The following is a 12,192-nucleotide window of genomic DNA, read 5'->3' as shown; positions in this document are numbered from 1 at the left end:
GTGGGGGATCTGACATAGTGCCAGACATAGGGCCATCTCTTCTCATCGTCAAAGCTGAGATCATCCTTCTCCAAGACGAAACTCAACCTCAGAAAAGCTAAACCTTTGCACAAGACTCCACAGGGGGTTAGCAGCAGGTCTGGGGCTGGCTCCCAGGCATCCGGCCTGCTGCCTGCGTCCTTCCAGCTGGACTTCTCATGCTTCTAATTGGCTGCCCATGTCCTTAAAAAGTCCACAGCTCCGACAAGGGGGCCGTGGCTCATGCCTGTAATCCCAGCACTTTGGGAGGCCAAGGAAGGCAGATCACAAGGGCCAAGAGATGGATACCATCCTGGCCAACATAGTGAAACCCCATCTCTACTAAAAATACAAAAAATTAGCTGGGCATTGTGGTGCATGCCTGTAATCCCAGCTACTCGGGAGGCTGAGGCAAGAGGATTGCTTGAACCTGGGAGGCGGAGATTGCAGTGAGCCAAATCGTGCCACTGCACTCCAGCCTGGCAACAGAGCAAGACTCTGTCTAAAAAAAAAAAAAAGAAAGAAAGAAAGAAAGAAAAAGAATAATAAAAAAAAACGCACAGCTGCAGGTCCCAGGGACCTGCACAGGGAAACACACACCATTTTCCTGCCTGGGCCACAGCGCGAGGCTCTCCCGGGCCCTCGGTGCTCAGGGCTCTTCACAGTGTCGGCTCACTGTGAGGTGCTTCTACGTTCACTCGCCTGGGGAGTGGCATGGGGAGGAAACAGCCTTCTTGGTGCACTAGTGGCCCCCATGCAGTGGGCATTTTTTGGCCTCAATTCCATTGGGTTCCTCCAGAACGAAATAGAGAGCATGCCAACCTCAGTGTCCAGAACGAGAAGTCCAGGCTCAGTAAAGGTGTCTGTCCTGGTTGGAATAAGTGGCTGCATTTTAATTTCTCCATTGGAAGTTGTTTATGTGAGGAACAGAGAACACAAACAATTTAAAGTAACTTTGACAACATAGATTCTGACCATCTCGGCAGTACCAGCTGCTGACTCTCTGTCCCCTGGAAATAAATCAGGTCCTGTACGATCCACCCCGGGCTTGCTCTCCCTTCCTGCCAAGGGCCAGAGTAGTTTGTGTGATGCAGCGGATGACTTTTCTTCAGAAGGCTGGGGAAATGGCCCCGCAGCGTGGAGCAGTCTGGCAGGTTCCCACATCTTCAGAAGGTTGGGGAAATGACCCTGCAGCGGGGAGCGATCTGGCAGGTTCCCGGTGCCATTTTTGTTCCTGGGCAGGCCCATGTCTGACATGTGCAGCTCTGCCAATCCCACTGTTAGCACAAAGCAATTATCCACAGTGGGGGGACAGCTCATTCCTTCTCGAAGCATGGTGTGTCACCGTCAATCAAGGTTTGCTGAAAGTCAAATGTCAGCAGTGTCGCTGGGTTTTGGTTCAAATGCTCCCTACAATGGGCTCAGTGCACAGTTGGAACTTCCAGAGAAGAGGGGGTTCTGGGAGAAGTCAGATCATTACAGACCTGGCCCAAAGACTTCAATACAGGCGAGTTCACCTGTGGCTCTGGATCTTACCCCCCTTCCTAACTGAGAAGAGACAAAAGTGACCACCCAGGGATCGGAATCAATAAACGGAGAGTGGGCTGAGGTGAGAGGAGAAGCTCTAACATCTGGGAGCTAAAAATAGAACAACACCTGGAAGGCAAGCAGAGCACTGGTGTGGCTGCCGACTTCTGCCACGGGCTGGGTTCCTGCAACCTGAGCAGTGAGCTCTGGGGCTATCTGCAGAGCAAAACACAACCCGAAGCTCATCCCAGCCTGAGTGCTGGGCTTCAACAGCCCAGCTCCCCACATCTGCCTTTCACGTGTTTACGCTTCATCCTGGAAGAGGGCGCCATGCAGGTCAGAACGGTGAGGAGCTCCACCCCCTGAGCAGAGCTGCCTGGCGTGGCCCCTGACTCCATGTCTTTCAGTGAAGAGCCCTTCTATTAGTGAGTTCCTGGATCTCTCCCAGTGGTGGCTGCAGCCAGCTATACCCTCCCTTTCCAACTTCCCATGCAGTGAAGCCATCCTGGGAACTTGAAACTGGCCAGGCTAGGGACATTTACACCATAGAAATGGGCACACACTGCAACTCAGCACTTCTGTTTCCTAGACAGCAGCCACACACTACCTCCTCCACATGCCACTCAGCTTCTTCGTGCAATGAGTGTCTGGATAGCACTGACTCTGCCCAGGTAGTGTGAAAGCTGAGATAACACAGGAAGAAAGCTTGTAAATATACACGTGGAGTTGCTTTCATTTTTATTATTAGTCCCTGTCTTTGGGCTGGACTCCTGTATTCAGTTCGTCCCATATGACAGCTTCCCCTAACCCAAGAAATGAAAGCTTGGGACAAAGCAGCACCAGCCTGATGGCACGGAATAGCAGGTGCGGCCTCGAAGAAAAACAAACTTCACATGATTCATGTTCAAGGTGAATTTTGTGCAACTTGTGGAGGGGAAAAAATAAAACCCAGCAAGATGTGGCAGTGATTGAGCAAATAAGCTCCAAATGAGTCACAGGCTCCACAGGACTCAGTCCTCCACAAGGCTTTCTGAGAGACCTGGTGAAGCAGGTGTCAGAGCGGCCTCCTCCCGCCTGCCTTCTGCAGCTCCACAAGTAGAGGCGTGGGCGCTGCTCACAGAGGCTTGGACGCCTTCTCCGAGTGCGTCTCCTTCTCGCTGGCACACAGCTGACTCGAGCAGATAGGGGCACCGCGGGGAAGGAGGAAAAGACTAACTTTCCAGACCTTATGTGAGCTCCGATTTCCAAAAGATTTACATTCTTGTTCAACAAGCACATAAACACCCTGTTTGCCGAGTGTTTGTGATTATGGCTGGAGCCCGGGCATGGTTCGCATCCGGCCTGCAGACTCCCGTTGGAGGGGGCGCCACAGCTGAGGAAGTGCAATTCCTTCTTTGCCACCAAAGAAACTACAAACTGCAAATGTTGTCACTCCCCTGCAAAGGGTATTTTATAAGGAGTCTTTGGGAATTCTCAATGTACATTTGCGGTGCTTTGATGTTTAGTTTTAAAATTCTGACCCATGTTAGTGTTGTGAGTGAATCACTCAAACTGTTTGGGCATGAGGCCCCTCTGCCCTCTGAACACAGATGGTGACTCTACCCCCCGAACACGGATCGTGGCTCTACCCCCCGAACACGGATCGTGGCTCTACCCCCCGAACATGGATGGTGACTCTACCCCCAGAACACGGATGTTGACTCTACCCACTGAACACGGATGGTGACTCGACCACCTGAATGCCGATGGTGGCTCCACCCCCTCAAAATGGATGGTTGCTAATGGAGCCAATTTTTAGGAGCAGGAAACAGAAGGGAAACACCACCGCTCTTAATTCTTTAAGACAGCTGAAAATTGTCTCTCCAGCTTCTGTGAGGACCGCCTGCGTTCACTCAATTCCCAACATGTGAACTCCACTTTCCCTTCCTTCTCCTGAGACGACAAGTCAGTGCTGAGGTCACGTCGTGGCTCCGATGAGACGTGTCCTCCTTATTTTCAGACCATGGGCTATGATGTTCCTCACAGTGTACAAATATTTCCGTTACCTCCTGCCTAAAAAGGATTAGAGATGCACAAATCAAATACACCAAGTCCAGCATAGCTTAAAGGCTCCCAAGCTAGCTGTCTGTGTCTCCATTTTTAGTCCTGCTGGTGGGGCAGCCACTGAAGGGGAAAGTGTGCTGGGCAGAGCCCTGATGGCCAGACGGGGGGACCTTGTCCAGAGCCTTGTTCTGTCGGCTGAACCTGCGCCGGGGTCCAAGCAAGGGGCCTGTTTGCAGACCCGCACGTTGTCATTTTGCTGGCAATGTTGTGATAAGGCTGTGACCTGCTCACCCCAGGCCTGTGAGAAGCAGGATTCTTACTAGGAAAGTGTCCACAGACTCGGGTCTGTTCTCTGATCCTCACATGGGAGGGCTTCGCTGGTAGGAATGGAAGGGTCTTGGCTTTGCTGCTCTGCAACATTAACTTCAGTGAAAGCACCCGCTTACCCTCCAAATCCAGGCTGAGTCCTAACTGTGGCATTTCCCGATGTTTTCCATCAGCTCTCTCCACTCCTCTGCACGTGCACCTCTGTCAGCCCAGGGCCACGCTGGGACCTCACCCCTGCTGCAGAGGTTGAGTTGCAACATTCACCAAGAGTCAGCAGTGAATTTCCTAGACCCATTCACGCCAATTGTCCCTGTTACTAGATTATACAGTTTAATTAAATACTGAGTAACTGAAGCCTCAACATAAGAACAATACAAAATAATAATATAAGTGTGAAGAAATTTTTGTCTACGAGACCTGAATTGCATGCTTTGTAGGTGTTTTATGAGGATATCATTTAAAGATTCTGTCATACAACTCTACAAGATTTTTTTAAAAACCTGTTTCATCACTACACTCAGGTTACTTTGCAGTTACCTGAATAAATTACTGGACTTTACAAACACACACACAAAATCAGAAATCACAGATGCCAAATCCCTCTAACGAGGAAATTCTAATCCAAAGAAAAGTCGTTGATCCTATAACGAAACTAGTGATTTGAGGAGTATCTAGATTTCTGAATGTCTGAAGCATGTTTATATCCTTTATAATTGACTTATTTTTACTGGTGGACCTACTGCCCACTCCAGCAGGAAGGAATGGAGGCTGGTGTTGTGCTCCGGACGCCTGGGCTCTCTTGGAGCGCCGGGTTGTGGAGCGCTCCCCCGACTGCCGCTCCTACGCAGAGCCCCTCCTTAGCAGAAGCTGCGCGTGTCTTGACCTATTACATCATAGTCATTTTCCTGGTAATTAAATGTACATTCCTCACAATGAAAGGTTAGAAGACATCAAGGGCTTCCTGGCAGAAGAACTGACAGGGATGTGTGCAGAAGATCCTTGTATACACATCACAGGCAAGTCCCTGTGCTCTGAGACAACGCAGGGATGACAGATGTCAAGAACAAATGTTAAAGGTAACTACTTTCTGATATTGCTTGAAAAGTACATATCTAATTAGAGAAAATCTGTTTACACTCACCGGTAAAACGAACTGATGAAAGAAAGAAAAAAACTAGGTCAGTTTGAGATCTGTGTAAGTCTGGTCTCTAATGGCACAATCATTAAAAATAATTTCAATTATTCACATTTGAATGACTTTAATATAAAGCTTTTTAAATAACGTGAAATCTGCTGCACAAAGTCAAAATTAAAGAATGGCCGAGTTAATCTCTGACATATGATTTGAGCTTGTGGAATGTGAAAAAGAGCACAGTGGAATGTTAAATTTCACATAAAATATTCTGGTTTTCTCTGGTTTATTTCGGAGTTATGGTGTCATTTATGATTACATTTTATGAGAAGATAATTACAAGCCGAATTATTTTTCTAAACATGCAAAGTGTAATGTAGATGTTAAGATAAATGCATTTGAGGACATTAATAAGCTCAATTCTTTCCATCTTGATGGATTTGTAACTTTCAACTGTGTCGTGTAGACTTGAAATAGCGCTTCTTTATTGCATTCTTCTCTACAGCCCAGTGCAATTCAGAAATCCCTACTTCATGAAGAGGAAGACAGAGTTAGGCTCACAGACAAATACAATCTCCAGCTCTAGATGGGATGTAGCCAGATCATATATTGAATTAAGTGCGTTGAAAACATGTGAATATTAAGAAATGAGATCTGAAATGTGTGTGTCTTTCGCTGTTGTCACCAATAGTATTTTACGAGTCGAAAAGGGTGATGGAAGCAAATTGAAATTTAGACGGTTTCTAAGGAGTAAAGGATGAAATGACAAAATACGATAGAGCTTCCTAAAAGTGACGATCAAAACTCAAAGTATACTGGATGAGTAGCTATAATCAAACTCGTACGTTTGGGCTTAGGACATAGTTCATTCTAAAGAAGGGGCACACAGGGAACCAGTGCACCTGCAGTCCCAGGTGAGGGGATGGGTCCCTCTTGAGTCCCTGAGTTCTTCTACTTAGCACTCAAACACTGCTAGTTCCCCAACAGTCAGTGAGTTTTCTGGGTGCCAATGCTTTCTCGAGGTGTTGCAGACGTCACATGTATAAAGGAGAACAGGGTCTGTGCCGTTGAGTATATTCCCCAAAAATGGCAGGTGCCTGCCTTCTGGTTACTGCCTGAGTTAATGTGCAGATTTCTTCACATGTGAGAAAAATTGATGATGTTCATAGCATTCTGAAACATAACAAGTATCTATTAGGTAAGATTGTGATTACATTCATTTTCAAAACTCATGCTAATAGATATAAACAAACCAAACTGAATTATTAAGTGGTCTTGTTCAATAATTGTCAAATGGCACAGACTACTTTTAATGAGGGGAAAATGTGATAAAATAGAGAATATCTTCTGAATGTCAAGAACTCACGGAGAGGAAAGCTGAGGGCCTTATGCGCTCCGGTTTGAATCCTATATTGAAGACACATATCTAGTTGTAGATTAGATATATTCTATTTTTTTTCTAGCTTTCTCTCCCTTTTCCTGATTCTGTTTTTTTTTTTTGAGACGGAGTCTCGCTCTGTTGCCCAGGTTGGAGTGCAGTGGCATGATCTTGGCTCACTGCAAACTCCGCCTCCCAGGTTCACACCATTCTCCTGCCTCAGTCTCCCAAGTAGCTGGGACTACAGGCACCCACCACCACGCCCAGCTTTTTTTTTTGTATTTTTAACAGAGATGGGGTTTTACCGTGTTAGCCAGGATGGTCTTAATCTCCTGACCTCATGATCCTCCCTTCTTGGCCTCCCAAAGTGCTGAGATTACAGGCATGAGCCACCGCGCCTGGCCCTTTCTCCTTTTTACAGGTTATCTTACATCTGTCCTTGTTAAACTACATATTACCTGGGAGCGATTAACTGTTATTGCTCCTTTTTATTCAGATGGTTTAAAATTTTCATCTGTGTTTAAGCTGTTCTATCAGTTATTCAATTTCATTTAAAATAATCAACATAAATAATGAGAGCATTTCCATTCTCTCATTAAAATAATTGGTGGAAGGGCCAGGCACGGTGGCTCACACCTGTAATCCCAGCACTTTGGGAGTCCAAGGCGGGTGGATCAGTTAGGGCAGGAGTTCGAGACCAGCCTGCCCAACATAGTGAAACCCCATCTTTACTAAAATTACAAAAATTAGCCTGGTGTGGTGGTGCGCACTTGCCGTCCCAGCTACCCCAGAAGCTGAGACAGGAGAATTGCTTGAACTCAGGAGGCAGAGGTTGCAATGAGCCAAGATCCCACCACTGCACTCCAGCCTGGGCAGCAGAGAGAGACTCTGTCTCAAAAACAAACAGAATAATTAGTGGAAGTCCTGGAGTAGAATGGTCTCAAAGTTATCACTCCACATTACTCAGTAGTCACAATCTCGGTCAGACCATTGTGATGAAAGAGGGGCCATTCTTTTCTCTACGTGATAAACAGCAGTGAGGTGAAGATCTCAGGGGATAGCTTGTTTATAAGAAAGCACTGCTAGTGAAACAAAAAACCTCATTTAGCCCAAGACACAGCCCCGCCCTCGCATTCCTGTGTCTGCAAGATCCCCTTGCTATGGGTCTGGTCTGACCTGGGGTCTCAGAGTCCTTCCAGCATGTTCCTGCATCAACCCTTCTGTGTGCCACACACTGTTCTAGGCACTGAGGATCCCGTGGTGAGCTAGAAGGCATGCGGTCTCTGCCCTCGTGGAATTTATAGATGAGAGGCAACACAGGCATGAGTTAGACATCACACGAGCTCACGTGAAATTGCAGCTATGGACAGTGTGAGGAAAAGGAGGCACAAGCCAGCATGGAGCCCTGGGATGCAAGGAGCTCAGCAGGTCTGGGAGGTTGGGAAGCTTTTTTGACAAAGTGGGCTTGAGTTGACATATGATGGAGCTCCCTGTGCAGGGGGAGGGAGGAGCCACTGAGAGAGGAAGCAGCATGTGCAACGGCCCTGTAGCAGGAGGTGATGACAGGAGTGTGAGCTGCAGGGCGTGGAGTGCAAGGGGCGTCTGGAAGATGGGGTAGGAGCAGGCAAGCCCTCCTGACCATAATTAGGGAGGGCTTTCTCTCCAGAGCTTCAGGAAGCCCTAGAAGGTGTGCCAGGGATGGGACCAGGCTGCTGGGTTTGCTGTGTGTTTCCAGCAGAGCAACTCACTGCCAGTAGGGGTGGAGGACACTGAGCAGGAGCTGAGTGGGCAGGGCACGCCAGCCAGCGAGTACCTGGGGAGGAGTCTGTGGGCTGTGTCCTCCTGGGAAGCCAGTGCTGTGAGCCCATAGCCAACACAGCAAGGCCTACAGTGCCATTAGGACCCTTGGCTGGGGAGAAGCCCAGCACCTGAGGTCTGATCTGTTCCCAGTGTTGGAACTGGAGCATTTCTGGATCCCCTGGAAGCCCCAAGTGGAGAATCTCTAGACTGGTTCCATCTTATGGAAATTTGATTTTCATGTACAGTGTATACCAACCAGAAAGAAGGGAATACTTGGATTCTCGGTGGGCGGTACTTAGGACAAATATTTTCCTGGGACCCCGAAAACCGGAGAGAAACAGTGTTTTCCCGTGCTGGCATTACCTGGGAGAGCCTTCACCTCCTGCTCCTCTCCTCAGGCTCCCGGACAGGCTTGCCTCCCCAGCCCTCTGCACCTTGAGGACCCCCATGCCCGTCCCAGGCTGTCATCCCCTCTCCCGTTCCTGCTGGAGCCCACACGCGGGTCTCTCACCGCCTGCAGTGCCCCCGAGCCACAGCCCCGCCAGATCCACCACCTTCCCCTGAACCTCTTGCTTTCCCGCTGTTCTTGGTGGCTTAAATGCTGATCCAGCTGCTCAAACTGGAACCCTGGGACCTACTGAGTGGCCTCCCCTTCTCTCTAGTGAAGTCGTGATGCTCTGCCTCCTTGGGATTTTGCAGTTCTCCATTGCCCCTCCACGCTGAGTGGCTTCCTTACCTGGGGTTACTCGCGGCTCTGCTGTTCCTGATTGCTCATGGTCAGGCCTTCTGCCAAAGCTTCAGATGCTGGAACTTTAAGGAAACCAAGAAGCCTGGTCTAAATGACAGGGATCTGTAAGCTCTTCAGACGGTTAGAAGCCCCCTGAAGGCAGACATGAGGTGGTACCCCTCTGTTTGTTCATCTTTTAATTCCCCACCCAAGCAGTGTATGCTACATGTGGCAGGAAGCCAAAATCAGTTGTTGTGAGGTTGCATGTTAATGTTCTACCAGATCACACTGGTAGTGGGTTGGGCCATAGGCAGACAAGCATCCTTTACCACACACAGAGGGGCTGTCCACACAAGGGAGAAATCAGAACTGCCTCATTCCCCTCCTGGCTGTGAAAATCATGTCCGGCTCTGGAGACATCTGGTGTGAACCTAGAGACCTAAGACCAGACATCTCGGTCATCCTGGATGGCCCTGGTAAGAGGTGCCTTGTGTCTACTTTTGCAGGTCACCTGGGCACACATGGAAATGGCGTGGGCCCAGCCAACGGGAGGGAAGGGCAGGAGTCTATAGAGATTCCCGGTCTCAGGTTTGGGATCTGATCTGAGTAGATAGTAAGGCCTTTTTCAGAGGTGAGGGCATGCTTTGAGGGAGGCCAGTGGGTTGGTTTTGGGCGTGTGGAGTTTGAAGTTCTGAGGGCAGTCCCAGTGTCCATGTGTGGCACCCAGGCGGGGCGGGAGCAAGGCCACGGATACACATCTGGAATTGATTTGGGGGAGCTGGGGCTGGAGCAGTGGATGAGGTCCCCAGCGAGTGGAAGGAGAGCATGTACATGCCATGAGTGAACCAGAGGGACAATTGCTCAGCCTTCACTTTGGACTTTCTTCATGTCTGTCTTTAGAGGAATAATTTACCTTGTTATGACAAGAAGTATGGAATGTTTGATGACAAGTCAAGTGATGTCAGAAGACAATGAGGGCATCTGATAAGACATTGTAGCTTACTAATTAATAACTGTGTTTCCAAGAAGTCATAATTGTCATGCATTCCACCCACATAAAATGGTGTCAGATACTCCAGTGCCTGACAAGTGGGAGGAACAGGAAAATCTGCTGCTCACTGCTCCTCTGTGTAGGTGTTTGATAATGCCTGGCTATGTGTCAACCCACTTAGGAAGCTGACTAGGGAATACAGTTGTCCTACCCTCTAAAACTGACTTCTCCCAACCAAGTCTGATCACACTTGAAGAAAGCGTCGGGCTCAGCCCCTGGCCTGCTACATGTGCTCCCCAGGTGTTGGGGGCAGAAGCTCAGCCCTCAGGTTTTGACAACAATAATTGTATCTGTTGAAGAACAACCAAGAACGTCAATCCCTCTCCCTAGCATTGCCAATGCAGATTGAGGGCTAGCTACTGTGTTGCTTCATTTGCCCGTTATTTTCCCAGGAGTTCTTAATTGCTTTTGGCACTAGATTGTAGATAGCATTTATTTAAGGCATACAACATATTCCTGATGAATTTATTCCATGGGGATGTGCCAGGTGCTGGTCAGGATTGTGCTGGTTTGCAGCCAGAATGAAGCAATGGGGCTTGCCTGCAATAGGCAGTTATGATCATTGACCTCACATAGTTAAGTAGGTTGAAATTTTTCCATTTTGGAAAATTTCTTTTTAAAAAAATTCTGAACCGCTGGATCAACCTAGCTAACATCTTTCCATTTTACCTTAGCAATGATAGCAAGAGCATGTTCCAGTTGGCTGGGCCAATTTTTTCCTACTCTCCATAATTTCCCTTTGTCTCTAAGACTCACAGGTCATAATAGGGTGTACATCAAAAGGCAGACTATGGTGCCTCTTAAGCCCTGTGCCCCACTAGGTCACCTCCCCAGTGGCTCCCTGTCTTGCCTAGAAAATGCATTTCTCCAACCACAGGTAAATATTACACATAAAATTGTTGAGCAAGTTTTAAAACACTAAAGTTTTTTTTCAATTTACTTTATCACTTATATTCTTAAGAATATATCAGTGAGATGCAAGATTATGATTTTTGACATTATGAGAAATATGTACTTTGAATTTCTAACGTCTACCATCTTGCATGATTTTTAGGTCACATTCCCCAGAAGTGTCCTCTGAGACAGGCAGTGTACGCATATGCTGATTATTAAGGAAAGACTTCCAGGTGTGGAGGGAGCAGGACAGGGAAGGGAGGACACCAGGTAGAGCTGAGTCCGGACAGAGTCCCAGCCTCAACCTGGTCCCATGAGGAGGGATCTGGAGTGCATTCCTGCTTCTGAGCTTCTCCAAACGCGGGCAAGGGATCTGGGTCCCTCCTCTGCCTCAGGCAGCCCTGGGCTGGGCATCCCTGAAGGGAGTGAACAGGGGGGTCCATCTGCAGGCACTTGGGCTTTCATCATTTAAACAGAGTGGCCCCAGTGGCCCAAGTGGAGTCCTCCAAAGAGAATCTCAGATGCAGGCGGTTGAAGCGGAGACTGCATCAGAAGGGTGCAACAGGCACACGTGCAGAAAGATTTTGGAAGAAATAAATGAAGAATGAGCAAATAGCAGCTTGAGATAACCATGATTTTATTCAGGGAAGGTTCAGCAAGTATTCTTCAGCTTTAAATTTTAAAAACTCATTTCACTAGAGACTAAGGTATCAGCCCAAGAAGGCTATTAATTTATGTGGCTGATAAATCTTGGTTGATAAATGGACATTTCCCATGCTATGGAAAATGTTTTTGTTGTTTTGCTAAGATGATAAATGTTTCTTTACAACTTTTCAAAATGAGCTTGACTATATAATACTAATACATAATTTGCATTCCTTTGATCATAAAAATGCATATAGAAAAACATATGGAAGTGTTAAAATGTCAATACATTGCACTGATATTCTTGGTACATCCCAACTCAGTATTAATGGGAAATTTTACTGCAATATTTGCTTCAAAGCAAATTGTCTGAGTTCATGCCAATTGTTTTTATAGTAAAAAGAAGAGCATGGCAATGGAAAGAATAGGCCAATTATAGGTGAGCAATTTGCCCTCTCTCCAAATAAAGGGTATACTTTTGACAGCAGAATACTTTGTATGAGAGAGCTGGGTCATATCCAGGTGGGCAAAGAATCTGGAGAAGGAGCCACAGGAATATGGACCCGCTGGACACAGAGTCTGGGAAGAGCTGCAGCCGGGAGCACTGTTCCCATGGAGTCCCGCTCCTCCCTGCCCATGGCTGGCTCCTT

The 12,192-nt window shown here is 47.7% G+C and overlaps 1 annotated feature.

The window, feature by feature from the left end:
- Positions 667-1,486: an enhancer, noted in NCBI's record as "H3K4me1 hESC enhancer chr5:2635417-2636236 (GRCh37/hg19 assembly coordinates)". NCBI's record gives its function as "activates a minimal SCP1, AML or CMV promoter by ChIP-STARR-seq in naive H9 embryonic stem cells {active_cell/tissue: H9 hESC(naive)}" and the evidence as "EXISTENCE:reporter gene assay evidence [ECO:0000049][PMID:30033119]".

Source organism: Homo sapiens, chromosome 5, assembly GCF_000001405.40.
Source record: "Homo sapiens chromosome 5, GRCh38.p14 Primary Assembly".
NCBI classification, from domain to species: domain Eukaryota; kingdom Metazoa; phylum Chordata; class Mammalia; order Primates; family Hominidae; genus Homo; species Homo sapiens.
The sequence above is the reverse complement of the archived record's forward strand: the minus strand, read 5'-3'. Positions and strand labels throughout refer to the sequence as shown.